The sequence below is a fragment of the Homo sapiens genome, chromosome 6, assembly GCF_000001405.40.
Source record: "Homo sapiens chromosome 6, GRCh38.p14 Primary Assembly".
NCBI classification, from domain to species: domain Eukaryota; kingdom Metazoa; phylum Chordata; class Mammalia; order Primates; family Hominidae; genus Homo; species Homo sapiens.
This window is the reverse complement of record NC_000006.12, coordinates 167,965,293-167,982,215: the sequence shown is the minus strand read 5'-3', so window position 1 is coordinate 167,982,215 and position 16,923 is coordinate 167,965,293. Positions and strand designations below refer to the sequence as shown.

The window sequence follows — 16,923 nt, the reverse complement described above, 5'->3', positions numbered from 1 at the left end:
CATTTTCATGCTGCTAATATAGACAAACCCAAGACTGGGCAAATTACCAAAGAAAGAGGTTTACTGGACTTACAGTTCCACGTGGCTGGGGAGGCCTTCCAACCATGGCAGAAGGGGAAAGTCACACCTCACATGGTGACAGAGAGAGACAGAAGGAGCTTGTGCAGGGAAACTCCTCCTTTTAAAACCGTCAGATCTCGTGAGACTCATTCACTATCACGAGAACAGCATGGGAAAGATATCTGCTCCCATGATTCAATTACCGCCCACCAGGTCCCTCCCGCAACAGTGGGAATCCAAGATGAGATTTGGGTGGGGAAACAGCCAAACCGTATCAACTGCCCTCTGACTTCCATCATTGCTGAGGAGAAGACAGCCATCAGTCCTTTTGGGTTCTCTTGTACACGGCAACTCGTTCCCACTTTCTGCTTTCAAGATTTTCATGTTGGCTTCAAACATTTGTACTATGACATGTGTGAGTGTGAATCTCTTTGTATTTATCCTACTTTTGGGATTCATTGAACTTCTTTGAGAGATTCACATTTTTAAGCAAATTTGGGAAGTTTTCAGCAATTATTTCTCTGAATGTTTTTCTGCCCCTTTATCTCTCTTCTCTCCTTTTGCTTTCATTATGCATATGCTGGGGGGCTTAAAGGGTTCACATATTTCTCTGAGGTTCTATTCCTTTTTTTCAATCTATTTTTATCTCCGTTTTTAAGATAACATAATTTCTACCAACCTATCTTAAAGTTTGCTGACTTTTCAGTTCAAATCTACTCATGAGCCCTGCCAGATGTTTTTTGGCATTTCAGTTATTTTCAGCTCCAGGATTATCATTAAAAAATAATTTCAATCTCTGTATTTTTTTTTATTTGATGAGACATTGTCATGGTTTCCCTCACTTCTATGAGCACAGTGTTGTTTAGTTTTTTGAACATGGCTGTAATGTCTGCTTTGAAGTCTCTGTCTACTCAACATCTAGGCCCTCCTGCTAGTCAGAGTCAAATTAAAAAAAAAATCTAGGCCCTCACAAGGCAGCTTTTGTTTCCTGTGTTTTCCTCATGTCTCATTTTCCTGTTTCTTTGAATGTCTTTGCATGTCTACATTTTTGTTGAAAATCGGATGTTTTAGGTAACAGTATACAAACTACATGCTGATTCCTCTCTTCCCTCTCTGTAGCTTGGTTTTGTTGTTTTGCTTATTTGTTGAGTCACTTGGCTAGACTATTTCAGTGAAGCTTATTTCCCCTGCAGTGTGAAGCCTCTGGGGTAGTTCCTTGGAGGACTCAGCCTTGGGCATGCACGCAGCCAGCCTGGGTTGTGGTGGTTTTGGTGGGGACACTGGCTATCTCTTTCCTTGATCCCTCTGTTAAGCTATCTACCTCATGCGGTATCATATCTACCTGTTAAGCTCCATTAATTACTAACTGATTGCTCTATGATTTTCAGTAATGACCTGGGCATACATTTCTTCAATGTCTGGTCCAATTAAACTGCAGCAGTGAACATTTTTTAAGGCCAGTCTCTGAGGTTTGTTTTAGCTCCAGGAGGGCTTTTTTTTTTTTTTTTTTTTTTGAGACTGAGTCTTGCTCTGTCACCAGGCTGGAGTGCAATGGCGCGATCTCAGCTCACTGCAACCTCTGCCTCCCGGGTTCGAATGGTTCTCCTGCCTCGGCCTCCCGAGTAGCTGGGACTACAGGTGTGTGCCACCACGCCCAACTAATTTTTATATTTTTAGTAGAGACGGGGTTTCACCATATTGGCCAGGATGGTCTCGATCTCTTGACCTCATGATCCACCCACCTCGGCCTCCCAAAGTGCTGGGATTACAGACGTGAGCCACCGCGCCCAGCCGAGGGCTCTTCTTAGTGTCACCTTGGTTCTCTCTAGCAACCTAGCAGGGCTATGAATTAGTTTGTTGATGATGTGCTGAATTGTGTCTCTACCCTCGAATTCGTATGTTGAAGTCCTAACCCCCAGCGTATTAGAACATGATTCTATTTGAAGATAGGCCCTTTAAAGAGGTGATTAAGTTAAAATGAGTCCATGGGGGTGGGCCGTATTCCAATGTGACTGGTGTCCTTACAAGAGGAGGAAATCTGGACACAGAGACACAAGGAATGAAAAAAGACCACGTGAGGACACAGTGAGAAGGGGGCCATTCACAGGCCAAGGAGAGAGGCCTCTGAGGCAACCAAACCTGCCAACGCCTTGAGCTCAGACGCTTCCGCCTCAGAACTGTGAGGGAGAAATTTCTGTTGTTTAAGCCCCCAGTCTGTGGTGCTTTGTTCTGGCAGCCCTCACAGACCAATTCATTGCTCCTAATTAAGAGGAACAATCATTTCAGAGCATGCCTTCAGGCTTGAATGTTTCCACGCTGTTTCCAATAAAGCCAGTTCCTTTGGGAAGAGCTTCAGAGCAACCTTTTCTTCCCTGTGGACTGCCCTGCTCTCTGGTCTTTTCAGTTTGCCTCTTTTTACGGAACTGCGTCCTACAGTGGAGCTGGGCACAGCAACTGGATCCCAGCCTTCTTAGCCCGCTGTTCTTGGGCTAGAGCCCCATCCGATGAGTAGGGACTGGCTGGAGGAAGGGGGCTGTCCGTCATGCTCACCAGGAATTTAGCCTCTTCAACTGGGTGCTGGGGTGAGAAATGCTGGCATCTGTCCCTCCTGGTGAGATAAGGGGACCCTCGGGTGGGAGCTGAGGGGAGAGCGAGCCCTGTCTCCTTGGCCACAACCACCAAGAGTGGGGCTTCTGTCAAGATGAGCTGGGGTGGGGGAAGGAGGGAGCCACAGATGATCATTATTCTTAGGGAGTTTCAGCAGACTTTCTTGAATAAATATTTGTCATCTGATTTTTGCTGTGAGGACTATGCTCTGATTTTTTTTTAACTCTTACTCAAATTCCTATCTAAGGGGTCTGGGGAGTCATGCCCTACAAATCATAAATTCTTATCAGATGGGTTTTATTTAACCCTATATATTGTGACTTGCTTTCCAAACCTGACTCGTGCATAACATTACGAGACAAGGAAGAAAGTCAAAATATTTTACCCCAAAAGCATGTTTCTTTGCCATATTTTGAAACGGTCCTGCAGAGCTGTCCGTTGTTGGGAGACGTGTACATCTGTAAAGAATCTCTGTTAACATGGCTAGATCTTTCTTCCAGGCCCTCCCAATCCTGAAGAAATGAACTAGAGTCTAGCACCTTTTAAAGATCTAAATAGGAAACATTTGTCACCTATTGTCTCCAAGGGCAGCCACTATGAGGCTTCAAAAGAACCTTGGTCTCCACAGTCTTTTATCTTAACCTGAACATTTCCTTTCTACTGATCCCAGGTCTTCGGAGAAACTCAACCAATTGTCAACCAGAAAGTGTTTACATTTACCTAGAGCCTGGAAGCCCTCCCCCTGCCCTTTGAGTTGTCCCGCTTTTCTGGGCAGAACCAATGTATTTCTTAAACGTATTTGATTGATGTCTCCTGCCTCTCTAAATTGTATAAAACCAAGTTGTGCCCCGGCCACCTTGGCACACGTTCTCAGGACCTTCTGAGGGCCGTGTTACAGGCTGTGGTCACTCATATTTGGCTCCGAATAAATCTCTTCAAATATTTTACAGAGTTTGACTCTTCGTTGACAGCTGTTCGCACAATTTCCATTAAAACCTGGGTGGTTTTCCCCATTTTGCGCGTTTTGCTCAGGTTTCCGGGGCTCCGGTCCCTGCCACCCCGGGTGTCCCCGGGCGGTGTTCTCCCTCCATGGCCATTACTGCGCTTGAACCACCGCCCTCCACAGTGTGACATTTTCAGAATAGGAATGTAATCTCAGCTTCCCACCCTTCTCACAGGCCCTCCGACGGTGGCTCCGTGCCCTCAAAAGAAGGATGATCCCTTCCTGGTCCCGCCTGACCCGGGGGAGCTCGGCCCCTGCTGTGCTGTCAGCCTCGCCCCGGCCGCCCGCGCTGACCCCCGCCCGGCTCACAGCACCGCTGGCCGCAGCCTCTCACCGAGAGCTCCTGCCCTCAGCCTCCAGCCGGAGAAGGACTCCCCATCCCAGCAGAGCTCAGCTCAGCGGGCACGCGCACGACGCAGAAATCCTTGATTTCTCAGGTTAGGCGACGGCTGAATTATAAACACGGGTAAGACCACGCACCTCCACTTCCCAGCGTTCTGTATTTTACAACCATTCTGTGTTTATTTCATTGATCTACTTCCCGGATTCAACGGTATACTCCAAGAGGGCAGTGACTAGAAGAACTTTATCTGTCCCGGCTTCGCTACTGTGCTCCCAGCACGTGCACAGCACACAGCAGACAGTTTTAAAAGCCGCGGAGGCCCCGGGTGGGAGGGGAGAGGAGGCCCCGGATGGGAGGGGAGAAGAGGTCCCGGGTGGGAGGGGAGAGGAGGCCCCGGATGGGAGGGGAGAAGAGGTTCCGGATGGGAGGGGAGAGGAGGCCCCGGATGGGAGGGGAGAAGAGGTCCCGGGTGGGAGGGGACAGCAGGCCCCGGATGGGAGGGGAGAAGAGGTCCCGGGTGGGAGGGGAGAGGAGGCCCCGGATGGGAGGGGAGAAGAGGTCCCGGGTGGGAGGGGAGAGGAGGCCCCGGATGGGAGGGGAGAAGAGGTCCCGGGTGGGAGGGGAGAGGAGGCCCCGGATGGGAGGGGAGAAGAGGTCCCGGGTGGGAGGGGAGAGGAGGCCCCGGATGGGAGGGGAGAAGAGGTCCCGGGTGGGAGGGGAGAGGAGGCCCCGGATGGGAGGGGAGAAGAGGTCCCGGGTGGGAGGGGACAGCAGGCCCCGGATGGGGGGGAGAAGAGGTCCCGGGTGGGAGGGGAGAGGAGGCCCCGGGTGGGAGGGGAGAAGAGGTCCCGGGTGGGAGGGGAGAGAAGGCTCCGGTGTGGGAGGGGGGAGGGGGAAGGGGGTAGGAGGTCCCTGGTGGGAGGGGAGAGGAGATCACCAGGGAAGTCCAGGGGTGGGAGGACAGAGCAGGTCCACCACCCCTAGGTCCTGGAAGCCTAGACGAGAGGGGACAGGTCACGTGGGACGTTTGCGTCCAAAGCTGGCTACCATCCAGTGAAAGCCTCCAGCCCACCCGATTCTCCCAGGCCTCCGCGTGGAGCCTCTGAGGGGGGTCCCTCCTCCCTCCCCCCACTCAGCCGCACTGGGCTCTGCAGCTGCCGGGTCCGTCGCTCCCAGAAGCCCCCCCACCGCCCGCTCCCCGCCGGCATCGCCTCTGCTTCTGGCCTCCTCTCACTGCCCCCAGTGACCAGCACAGGAGCGGGCGTTGGGGAGCACGAGGGGGTGGCTCGAGGCGGGAGCGAGGGGCAGGAAGAAATAGCAGGAAGACCCAGGGGCAGGAGGCCGGTGTTCAAGCGTCGAGGAACGTTTCATCCCTTCTGAATCCCAGGCCTCGCTGGACCACGGACCCGCCAGGTTCTCCCGCAACTTGCGGAGCTCCTGGACCGGCCCTTCCCAGAGGCGCAGCGCTGAGTCCCAGGAGCAGGACCTGAACCAGGAAGGGGAGGGGCGAGCACAGTCCTGCCTCCTCCTCCCCGCACAGTGCTGGGGGAATGACCCCCACTGCCTTCTTCTCCTCCCCCAACACTGCAGGGGGAATGACCCCCACTGCCTCCTCCTCCCAACACACTGCAGGGGGAATGACCCCCACTGTCTTCTCCTCCCAACACACTGCAGGGGGAATGACCCCCACTGTCTTCTCCTCCCAACACACTGCAGGGGGAATGACCCCCACTGCCTCCTCCTCCCAACACACTGCAGGGGGAATGACCCCCACTGTCTTCTCCTCCCCCCACACTGCAGGGGGAATGACCCCCACTGTCTTCTCCTCCCCCCACACTGCAGGGGGAATGACCCCCACTGTCTTCTCCTCCCCACACACTGCAGGGGGAATGACCCCCACTGCCTCCTCCTCCCAACACACTGCAGGGGTAATGACCCCCACTGCCTCCTCCTTCCCCACACACTGCAGGGGGAATGACCCCCACTGCCTTCTCCTCCCCCAACACTGCAGGGGGAATGACCCCCACTGCCTCCTGCTCCCCACACACACACTGCAGGGGGAGTGACCCCCATATTTTAATGCAGTGGTTTCTCTGGTCACTCACGGTCCAGCACTAGCACGCAGCAGTCGGGGAAATGCTGTGGGTATGAGACGGCCTGGATTTTGAAGGCGCTGCATGAAAAAGAATGTAGAGAATCTGAATGCATTTTATGTATAGATTGCATGTTGAAATGATGCTGTTGGGATATATTAGGCAAAATAAAATATATCACAATTTATTACACCTCTTTCTACTTTTTTCATGTGACTCCTAGAAAATGGATGGTCTCTGAAGGGGCTGGTGTCAGGTCTCGAGGGGACTGAGCTGCTCTGAGCCTGTCCCGTGTCACAGAATGTGGCCAAAGGTTCCAGGAGAGTCGGTGGCAGTGCTGGACGGAGGCCTCGTCTCCTGCTGCAGCGTGTTTGTAATACATCAGGTCCGTATCACTTTGTTTCCAAGCTTATTTACGTAGCAGCTGTTGGCTAGGCATGCACATAGGCCAGGAGAACAGTGGCGAAAAGGCCAGCTCACGCCTGGCAGAGGTGACAGGACACGGTGTGCGACGTGATCGCGGCGACCATGTGGCATCGTTGGTTAGGAACATGGACACCAGCTTCTCATGGCCCCAGTGCCAAGGACGCCCTCCCTGACCAGACCCTGGGCTTCTCCACGCCCTTTTTCAACTCAGCCTCAAGTCTGCATCGCCGTGAGAATCCCCCACGCCTGCGTCCGACATCTGATCAGTTCTGCGTCCCCCGCCAACCCCCAGGTGATGCTGGGTTCCCCAGGCCTGACTTTAGGAAGACTCCCCATGGGTCAGTTTAGCCTGAGTGCCCTCCAGCCTTGCTGTATGCAGAGTTGAGTCCAGCTCCAAACTGCGGTGTTTTCTTCCCCCTATTACAAAGTTCTGGAATCCAACCTGCTTTACCACTTTAATGACTCTGGCTCTGCCCATGTCATTAGAAACCCTGCCAAGAGGTGTGACAAATCTGTGTCTCCACCTGAGACAGCCAGAGGCCCCGTGTATGTACACAAGTCAGCCCCGCAAATGGTGTCCTCAGGAGCAAAGAATATTCAGGGCGGCCCATGTCCAGTGCTGCCTGAGAAACTCCTCTTAGAATATGAGGCTGAGACAAATTCCCTCCGGAAGGTGCTTGCGTCTTGCTCCTCTTCTGAATACATGCAACTGGTATGTGGTACCCAGCCTCCCCGCGCAGCACGGCCTCGCAATGCAGTCGGCCTGTGTGGTCCTCACCTTTGCACTCTCCTCTTCCTTCATTTCCTATTTTTGTTTGTATTCCACCAATCCCTTTTCTTGTCTTGCTACAAGAATTCTTGAGAGAGATCTGATCAAATCATTTATAGACTGCAGCCTCCAGCTGTCTGTGAGCAATCCGTCTACTGTACTGAAGATAGCATTCCTCTATGTTTTCTTGCATGGAAAGCTAATTTCAGAAAGTTATATTTAGTAACACTAAGCAAGATGTAACTGGATGACTTGCAGGAGGGAAAGTATATGCAAAAAGTGAATTTTTAATTCCACGATTTCATCCAGTTTATTCCAAAAAGTCACACAACCCCAAAGATACATACTAGACTTCAGATTGAGAAGAATTTACCCAACAAATATTTATGGGTGCCTAGTCTGCGATGGGTGACGTATAATTAAAAAACTGGAAAGAGAAATAAACATCTCACATCACAGGAAGGAGAGGCTGCTTCATTAAATAAGTCACTCTTTGTCCACAAAGACTTAGAGGGCTCTGGACAGTCTCTGCATCGATGTCAGCAATTTTCCAATATTTAGGTAATGGCAGTTACAGAAATCAGACAAACCCAAAGTCCCGAGACTCCCTAGCTATGCTTCGCCTGTTCAGAACATGGTACGTATTTTGCTCAACTGAACTAGGCTGTTTTTATATTTTGGGATCTATTCTCATACAAAAAAGATTGACGGGAGGAAGGTGGAACATTTTTAAAGCCATACAATTGACTCTATGGTTTCCCAGGTCTCTCTTTGGGCTTAGATTACTTAATATCTTATAATCATTTTTAAAAGTTCCAAGTTGAAGTTGGAACCACTGTCTCCAATTTAACATTCATTTAAGCCTGTAGTCCCTATAAAAGAATAAAACGTAAGATTTAGAAGAGCAGAGAAAAATAAGATCTAACCCACTGAAGACATGTGAAAGTAGTTTTCAAACAGAAAGCCATGGTTACCAATTTGTTTGAAAGCCAAGCTGAGTTTTGTCCTCTTTTCTAATCTGTTCTTTGGCATCTCTGTAGCTATGCAAACAACTCTAGAGCTTACCTGTGCCCACCCCAGCCCATGCCTCCATGCTCTCCTATCTGGGTGGCCACACCACCATCTGGTTCCTCAAAGCCTCCAACTCCTGCAGGAGCCTGCTCCGGGCTTCCATTCCTTCCCCTCCCATCCCGGCAACCAGAGCGACAGCCACTGACATCACCTGGGTGGCCCCAGCCCCTCCTAGAAACCCTGCAGAGGCTTTGCACTGCGTGAAGAAAACAAGTCACATTTCCTGCCATGGTCTTAGAAAATACACTCTTTTACCACCGGGTAGTGCCAGGTGGCCCCTGGCTCTCTCCAGCCCCTGCCTGCACCCTCCTGTTCTGGGGCTCTGGCTCTGGGCTCCCCTGATCTTCCTGAGGTTCCAGCTTATCTGCCTCAGGCTTCTCCTTCCATCTGCAAGGCTTCTCAAGATCATCACTTTCTCAAAACAGCCTACCATCTCCCAGGAACTTTATTAGACCTCCAGGTGTCCCCTGCACTTCTTTACTGTTAACAGTTACTATGTATCTGCATATGTAAATGGAACATGTGCTGCTGCCTCCTGGAGTGATGCTCCCTGGGGGCAGAGCCACGCTGTTTCAGGACAGCAGGTAAGCGCTGTGAGACCCGTCACCATCACTGAGGCAGGAGGCACCCGCAGGCTCCCATAAACATCTGCTGAATTAAACAAGAAACTAGCTTCAATTCCCAATCTCAAGTCTAGTATGTCTCTTTTGAGGTTATGTGATTTTTGGAATAAACTGGATGAAATACTGGAAATAACAAAACTATCACTTTTTGTACATCCTTTCCCTCCTCCAAGTCACTCGAATTAAATTTTGCTTAATGTTTACTAAATATAACTAAATCTTTGAAATCAGTTTTCCACTCAATAAAGGATAGAGGAAATTGTGTCCAACGGCGCACACCAGAAAATGATCAAGTGCTTGCTGGTCCGTATGACAGACCACTGTAGGGCAGTACCATTATTTCCACTGACAGCAACAGAAACACAAGGCTTGAGGAGAAAAAGGAATCTGTAATAATACTCAGACTTCCTAAGTTTTTGTATTCCCAAACATTAAAGTCCCCTTTCAAGCATTAAAATATAGTAAAAGTGAATACTATAGTTCTAATACACAAACATCTCGTTCTATCAAAAAGGTCTCCACAAGTTTCTACAACCCTAAGACACACTCCTTCCTTCATGAACGTCCTTATTTTTACAATACATGGACTACAGTCACCCTGCTGTGCAGCACATGGATCTGAAAACCTATTCCTTTTGTCTATCTGAAACTTTGCATCCTTCAACCAACAACTTCCCATCCTTTTCTCCCCCCATGAAAGCTCTAAAAATTCTCCATCCCTGCCCTGTCCCATCCCCCTGCTCACAGGCCATTAAAAGGTCCACTGGAAATAGGCAGAGGCAGGAGATGGCGCAGAGGCAGCGCTGAGCCCTGTCCACACAGAAGGTCCCGCCCGCACATGCCCAGGCCTCCCGCAGCTCCCAGGTCCTCACAATGTGACTTGTGTAGTTTTACAATCAAACACACCCTTTTACACGAGGCCGTCCCGAGTGGGTTCTTGCACTAGGACGCTTCTCACCAGGATGCCTTATGTACACCATTTACTTATTACTACGGATATTTTATTTCAAAGGGGCCACCAAGAGACAGTGTCACTGAGAAATGGCTCGAATGCCCACCTAAGCTTGCTGGGATCAAGGAAGCATCAGGAAGGCCTGGGCAGCAGAACGGCTTATGAGACTCAGACACCACCCGTGAGCTGTGTGACGAGGCACACGACACGTCCCCACAAATGAAAACCACTGCCTGACACAGAAATCATACTCAGTAAGTGTTTAATGAAGAAGAGACAGATGGAAAGAGATGGGCGAGGAAGGCTGATGTTACAAATATAAACTTTGTCAGCACTTTCAAAACAATAGCAAATACACTTAAATACATACAAAGTTTATTAAAAATAGGTTGCAACTGAAATACAGTAGAAATGGAAAACTACAGCAGTTTTGATGTTTTCTCATAGTAATGCAGTTCTGAAAAGCACTTTTACACATATTCACATTTGACCTCACTGCCCAAAGATGGCCAAATCCACTTGTGTATGGGTTTCACAACCACACATACAAATATCCCTGTATGTAGATATTTACATGTATCTGCATGTTCTCCTGTGTATTTTTCTATATATTAACAGAAAAGTAATTCATCTGCATCTCTTTAAAGAAAGTGTGGATTTAGTCACCATAAGGCTGCCAGTGTCCTCAAGATATTTGGGAGGTGCCTGCTTTTCCTAGAACTTCTGCTGCAAGCAAGCAAATCCTTCCTAAACACTCAGAACCATTCACTCTCTTACTCAAACAAGGAAATGGTAAGAGCACACTTTCAAATAAAAACCCTGATAGAGGTAAAAAAAAATATTTACACTCGCATTTTTAATGATTTATCATACAACTTTTATTAAAAGTGATTTCGAAGGCAGTAAAAAGCCCCTATACCTCTCTTTGAAAGTGTGCCTATTTTCCTAACATATGTAAGAGAACATTCTCTTTGAAAATGTGTCTATTTTCCTAACATACGTATGTGTAAGAGAACATTCTCTTTGAAAGTGTGCCTATTTTCCTAACATACGTATGTGTAAGAGAACAATATGGTACAGAAAAATCATTTGGACTCCACCAAGGGCTTTGTCAAATAGAAAATTTGCTTGTAATCACAAAGTAATTTATCATCTTAACACCAGACAATATAAAACACACTGAGGTCCGTCTCCCCAACATCAGCCACATATCCATAGCTGAAGAAATGACAGTGGTAACTAATAATTCAACAAATTAAAATTAAATAACTCTATTATAGTATAAAAATAGCTTGAACTTCCATATGAGTTATTCTTACAATATTTAAGTTACAGATGCCCTGTAACTGAATTCCTTCCTTGACGGCATACAGATGAAAATCGATTTCTTTTTCAAATTTAAAATTTCTGAGTGACAGCTGTGCTTGAGGGGTCCCTACTCATCTCCCATTCTTCTGTCATTCCCAGTCACATGAACATTGCTCCAATAAAGATATCTTCTTTTACAGACGCCTTGGAGCGAAGTATTAGTGAACTTTCCAAGGTAACTGTCATCTTTAAATTTAACAGTGATTTATTAAGTCTAACAATAATCTGGTATTTATAAAAATAAAATCCCCTAAGCTTAAATCCTCAAAATTTTCTTTCAGAATTAAAATTAATCAAATATTTAGAATTGATCAGAAGAGCTCAAATTTGCGAGGAATGAGATGGAACAGTCTCGGACGTGCGTCATCACACAGGAAGCTTTGGCCTAAGCCACTTCACGATGCAGACTAGAAGGATATTGTGGGAACAGACACCATCAGGGGACATGGGAGGAGCATGTCGTCATATGTTCCTTCCCGGGTAGAAGAGCGTGTGGTCACTACTAAACAGTGCCAACAATAGTCTGAATAGTTCAAGCTATTCTCTGCTTGACAGCTAAAATAAAGTTTCTGAAAAAAACAGAAACAGAACTTCTTTGTGCTCCTCGGTCGATGATGAGGGGAAGATGGGAGAGAAGACACATCCATTCTCTTCTCCTGCCCTTAGTTCTGTCCCCTTTGAACTCAGGACTCCAAAAAAGAAACCAACAAAAAACTTACCCTCGTGTGAGTTAGATAATTAAGAAACTAGACAGTGTTTAAATTACATAAATGGCAATCTCATGGTAAAGTAAAATAAAATTTCTTGGAATTGAAACATTTCTAAATCCCAACAATTTTAGAAACAGAAATTGTAAATCACTTAGAAATATAACCCCCTTCCTCTTTTCCTCTTCAAACTCGCACCTACAAACCCACAACTGAAAAGATTTTGGGGTAAATACAAAGTGTTCTCCTCATTTTCTTTCACTTTGTGTTCAGTTCATTCTCCAGTTCTGTTAATTTACGAGAAGCTTTCACTTTATTGGATACATCTTGACCTTGTGAAAAAAGACGCTGGCGTTCCTTGAATGTCAAGTTTTCAGGGGCCCCAGAACTTCCAGGTGAATCTGCATCTTGGCTGCAGAAGAGGGCAATATCAAAGATTACTGGACAAACTAGAAACAACCTGTCAACAATTACACACGTTTGCAAAATGGGCGATTAAAATTTTCACTCATTCTTTGTTAAATTGTGCTATAACCTTTCTTATAATCGAAATCACAGGGGCTGTATTTAAACCCATCTAGAAAAAAAGGGCAACATGTTCTCTTGGCTACAACATTAACTTTTCCCAGTCATAGTCAACTCTCAAAAAACTTGTAAGTTAGATTTTAGCAAGCAGGTGACTCTTACCAGTTAAGTGTAACCTGAGGGGTACAGTTTTAAAATACAGCATTTTAAGGCATCTTACATGTACCTGAGAGGCATCTATAAATATGCCAAATTTAATAATAAGTTATAGAATAGTACTGATGATTTTTCTGGTGAGTTCAAATTCCATGTTTTAAGAACACTTGGGGCAATAGCATTCCTAATTACAATCCAGGTGAGGTCACAGAGTGAAGCCATGAAGTCTGTTTACATAATCTCAAGGTGTCGTGAAGAGTGAAAGGGCTCATCAGGTACAGATGAAGTTCCTCGTCTAGTGCAACCGTCCATACCTTTTAGAGCGCTTCTCTTTTGCATCCCGACAGGCGTCATGGGCTCCAACAGCTGCTCCAGTAGATCCTGGGTAAGAGTTTGGTCCTTTTCCATGAAAGAAACAGTACAAGTTAAAGTACCTGATTATTTCTAAGCTTTACTCATGATAAAGATGCAGTGCTCAGAGAATACAAAAATACCTTTACTGAGTAAGTAGGAAGGTAAAAGACCCCTCATATTGTATCAAAGTTTCATCAGTTTGAAATTCATCCCTGTTGGTGGCCTGAGTAATCCAATTACTACTCTCAAAAGGTGCTAAAATGTTGACCTGACGCCCTTCACTATGAGGGAGGAATACTGCCCACTGGCCCAGCTCTGCCTCTGACTGGCACAGCAACTCTGGGTGAGTGTAACATCAACCCATCGGCAACATTTGCCCTGTTCCTACTGGCTTCGGTGGATTGTTGAGGATCAAAAGATGTGATGCAGATACAAAGTTTTCAATGTATCCAAGTAATAATGTCACTAAGTGTATCCAAGTAACAATCAATGTTATATTGTTAAAATCATAATGCAGTAAATCAGTGTTAATGTATTTCTATTAATTGTAGCATTAGAAAAATTCACACTGGAAAAATCTGACAGTGTAATACAGGCTGCAGTAATAAATGCTCAAACTATTTAGCAAATACTGACAGCAATGAATATTGGATTAAACAGGCCACAAAAGTAGTACAATATTTTCACATTAAAATTCTTTTTCAAACAACTTGCACAAAAATACATTTTTGTTTCTCCTCTTCTACAAAAGGACCTGCTGTGCAGAACTCATCTGATGTGCTGCAGACGGGACACAGCTGCCTTTTGAAGGCGCCTCTCTGCACTGCACCTTCACTCAGGTTTCCCACCACCCTGCAGAGGGCGCCATCCTCAGCAAAGACTCAAAAGATTCAACAGAAACACATCTCCACCTTACGACAATTTATAGCGGGCCTTTAGATAAATTACCGCATGGAGACATTTTTTTCAATTTTAGTTCCAAATTTTTTATCTTGCTTAGTTTTAAAAACATTGTATTATATCTTTTGAGCTTTAAGAATGATACTGGCTTCTTCCACTGGTAAAACTAATTCTTCTGAATTTTCGGAACTTTTAGACTTAAGAGTATCAAATACCTTCAGCTGACTCTCTATGAATACTCCAAATCACAGATCATTTTCAAAAAGCTTTAGTAATGAATCTTTCATACAGTGCTATGTTCAAATCTGGCATTACTCATTCACATCCTAATGCTGCTCCTCTCACTGTCCAGTGGAAGAAGCCCAGTCCATCTGCAGAAGCATGCTTTACCAGAGTGCTCGCGACACAAACAGAGCTGAGCAAGGAATGAGACCATGCTAGTGAAATGAGGAGGACACAAGGTCGGAATGCGCTCTGCACACGGTGCAGACGGCTCTGTACATTACGAAGAAGTCTTCAAAGAGGTGGAGCAATCAGATGTCGGCTATGACCTGGTCCTGTGAGGTACTTCATGTGTGCGGTAAAATAAGGGTTAGTGGTAGGACTGAGAGCCAAGATGGTGAGTAGTGACACCTCATTATAATACTTGGCTACCAAACCTCACATTTCTGTCATGACACATAAAAAAATATCTTAGGTTCAGCTTATAAAATTCAATACAAGGAGACTGATGGCATCCTGCTTCAAAATTTACTATTATTCCGTAAATTTCTCTAAAAGGTACCAAATTGTAGATACTTACAACAGATATTTCATAAAATGATTTAATCCTGGCTTCCAAAGTGACTCAACCTAAATATTATTATATATTAAACCTTCAAAGTAGATCAAAGCTCTGATCCAGGGGGGCGGGGAAAGACAGAATTCTGGCAAAATTAATCTGTTATTTGTAAGGGTGACAGTTACACTGACTCTTAGAATATTTGACAATTTCAGAATTGTCGAGTCCCATGCATTGCTTATGCAGAATGATGCAGGATTTAGAAGACTCTCATACACTCACTAAAAGTAATACTCTTGTATTTGAAGATATTTAGTACCAGAATTCCAGTTTCATTTAAGGTAAGATTAGTGTGAAATCTGAATCCTTATGAATTCAGCTATATTTTAAACATGCTGTCTTGAAAACAATGACTACTGAACCCACGCCTGTGACAGCCTCTAGGCCCTGTCCCCTGCACAACTGTCCTGCTCTACAGTCAGCATAGGGGTTTCCCTAACGGCAGCTGCACGCCTGCTAAGGTCTGGCTGCTGGTGTTACTAGGTGCTAAGAGTGCAAGTAACAGGAAGGAGTGAAGCCAGTTAGAGGAAAAGGGGATGAGAGGAATTTCCCTGTAACGGGGGTCTCTGGACCCTGGCGTGAGGCAGCCTGCACGGAGGTCATGAAGCCAACAGTGAACCAGCTTAGCGGATGCTCCGGCCACACCAACCAAACCACCATGAGAGCGCGTGATCTATTCCACAGGCTACTTAATCCAGAACAGAAAGTTCTGCCAACATTAAATAAAGGAAACTTATAATAGAATTATAACCTTTGTCTCTAGAGACACTACAGCGTGTGAAAAGCACTTGTTCAAACAAATAGAAGATCATTGGTAGAGAGAGAAAATGAAAGCCAAGACCAACAGTACTTCAAGTGATTTGGGAACAACAGAGAAGGACTGATTGTCAGCTGATCAAAGAAATGGAACTTTTTAAAGTGTAAAAGAAATCGGAGTACTAAGATATCTACCAAAGAGTATTAGCACAGAACATCACAATCAGAGGCAGAGGAGGATCACCATGCCGAGACCAGTGATCACATGACATCCAAATTCCAAGGCAAGTATGATCGCCATGGACCATACTACAGGGCAAGTGTGCAGAGAGATGCTGAGGTTCCAATCATTAAGACAAAGAGAGCTGATTTGTCACTCTTTTACCTCTACCTTTGCAGTGGCTGGGATGGTAGGAGCTGGATTTTTTTGGAGGGGGCAGGGGCTGGCCTTTTTTGTGAGCAGTACTGTTGGCTTTGGCTGAGGGTGGCTGGAATGAGTTGGAGAGAAAGACGCCATCGGAGGCCGGGCGTGGCTGGCAGGGGGGTGGCCGTGGTTTAAGAGGGGCAGGAAGAAGGTCCCCATGAGACTTTCTTGTGCTGGAGTACTTATCCTGACCTGCTAGGCTGCAGTCCTCCTCCTCCTCCTCCTCATTGTATGCAACAAACTTGGCAGTGAACAGCGAGTCGGGGGAGAGGACCTGTGTTTTGAGGTAGGAGGCGTTTCGCTGAGGCGGGGGAGGAGGGGCGCCGGGCGCGGGGGACGGGGACGGGGGCTCGTAGTCCCGGGGAAGCGGAGGGCGGCACAGACCGGGCGCCTCGGGCTCCAGCAACCTGCGCGCCGCCTCGTCGTGCTGTCTGCGCCTCTCGGCTTCCAGGCGGCTGTAATACCCTTCTTCCTGTCGCCTCTGCGGGCGGGAATAGACAAGAGTGCAAAGGTCAGAGGTGAGAAGGGAACAGCCGACCCACTGGGCCTTCAAAGGGAACAATCCTCATCATCACACTGACGTCAAAGTTTAATAGTTACAATTACTATGTAACAGAAGCAGCAGGTCAATCCAGAGTCTTCTCCCTAGACTTACAAGTACATTAATACTATCCTGGATTATTTGACAGAAAACTGCTCAGAAGCATGGAATGGATTCTCAGCCTCCTGCTTCCCAGTCACTTATGCCTTTCCATTATCCCAGTGGACTGAATTCTCCTCTGCTTTCCTTCTTTCCTTCCTCCACGCTCCTGTTACTTCCTTCTCTCTCTCCTCTTCTGATTTTGGCAGGATATTAACTTACCTGTTACTGCTGTGTTTAAAGATAATGCAAAACTAAAAATAGGCTGTCACTGGCTTTCTATGGCCAGCACTTTCCAAAAGGCA

The 16,923-nt window shown here is 46.7% G+C and overlaps 1 protein-coding gene and 1 long non-coding RNA gene across 53 annotated transcripts in view, besides 5 other annotated features; one reads left to right on the top strand and one right to left on the bottom strand.

Annotated features, from left to right (window-relative positions):
- Positions 1-201: a silencer, noted in NCBI's record as "peak6321 fragment used in MPRA reporter construct". NCBI's record gives its function as "represses an SCP1 promoter by STARR-seq MPRAs in K562 erythroleukemia cells {active_cell/tissue: K562}" and the evidence as "EXISTENCE:reporter gene assay evidence [ECO:0000049][PMID:32103011]".
- Positions 2,066-2,641: an enhancer, noted in NCBI's record as "NANOG-H3K27ac hESC enhancer chr6:168380255-168380830 (GRCh37/hg19 assembly coordinates)". NCBI's record gives its function as "activates a minimal SCP1, AML or CMV promoter by ChIP-STARR-seq in naive H9 embryonic stem cells {active_cell/tissue: H9 hESC(naive)}" and the evidence as "EXISTENCE:reporter gene assay evidence [ECO:0000049][PMID:30033119]".
- HGC6.3 (uncharacterized LOC100128124) lies at positions 2,423-6,298 on the top strand. Its single transcript, NR_171011.1, has 3 exons — positions 2,423-2,671; positions 3,846-4,136; positions 5,401-6,298. It is a non-coding gene; the product is annotated as an uncharacterized LOC100128124 (long non-coding RNA).
- Positions 3,219-3,795: an enhancer, noted in NCBI's record as "NANOG-H3K4me1 hESC enhancer chr6:168379101-168379677 (GRCh37/hg19 assembly coordinates)". NCBI's record gives its function as "activates a minimal SCP1, AML or CMV promoter by ChIP-STARR-seq in naive H9 embryonic stem cells {active_cell/tissue: H9 hESC(naive)}" and the evidence as "EXISTENCE:reporter gene assay evidence [ECO:0000049][PMID:30033119]".
- Positions 3,796-4,372: an enhancer, noted in NCBI's record as "H3K4me1 hESC enhancer chr6:168378524-168379100 (GRCh37/hg19 assembly coordinates)". NCBI's record gives its function as "activates a minimal SCP1, AML or CMV promoter by ChIP-STARR-seq in naive H9 embryonic stem cells {active_cell/tissue: H9 hESC(naive)}" and the evidence as "EXISTENCE:reporter gene assay evidence [ECO:0000049][PMID:30033119]".
- Positions 6,212-7,121: an enhancer, noted in NCBI's record as "H3K27ac-H3K4me1 hESC enhancer chr6:168375775-168376684 (GRCh37/hg19 assembly coordinates)". NCBI's record gives its function as "activates a minimal SCP1, AML or CMV promoter by ChIP-STARR-seq in naive and primed H9 embryonic stem cells {active_cell/tissue: H9 hESC(naive and primed)}" and the evidence as "EXISTENCE:reporter gene assay evidence [ECO:0000049][PMID:30033119]".
- The window catches only part of AFDN (afadin, adherens junction formation factor), a 145,460-nt gene continuing 138,729 nt past the window's right edge, over positions 10,193-16,923 (bottom strand). For 24 of the 52 annotated variants that reach the window (XM_017010878.2, XM_047418814.1, XM_017010882.2 and 21 more), the window contains 3 exons: positions 16,171-16,459; positions 13,018-13,102; positions 10,193-12,434 (listed from right to left, as the gene is read on the bottom strand). In XM_017010878.2, coding sequence (XP_016866367.1) covers positions 12,281-12,434; positions 13,018-13,102; positions 16,171-16,459 — 528 coding nt within the window. In that variant the 3' untranslated portion in view covers positions 10,193-12,280. Of the gene's footprint in view, positions 12,435-13,017; positions 13,103-15,939; positions 16,460-16,923 lie in introns of all 52 variants that reach the window. The other 28 variants (XM_047418788.1, XM_047418790.1, XM_047418792.1 and 25 more) reach the window with 3 other exon arrangements.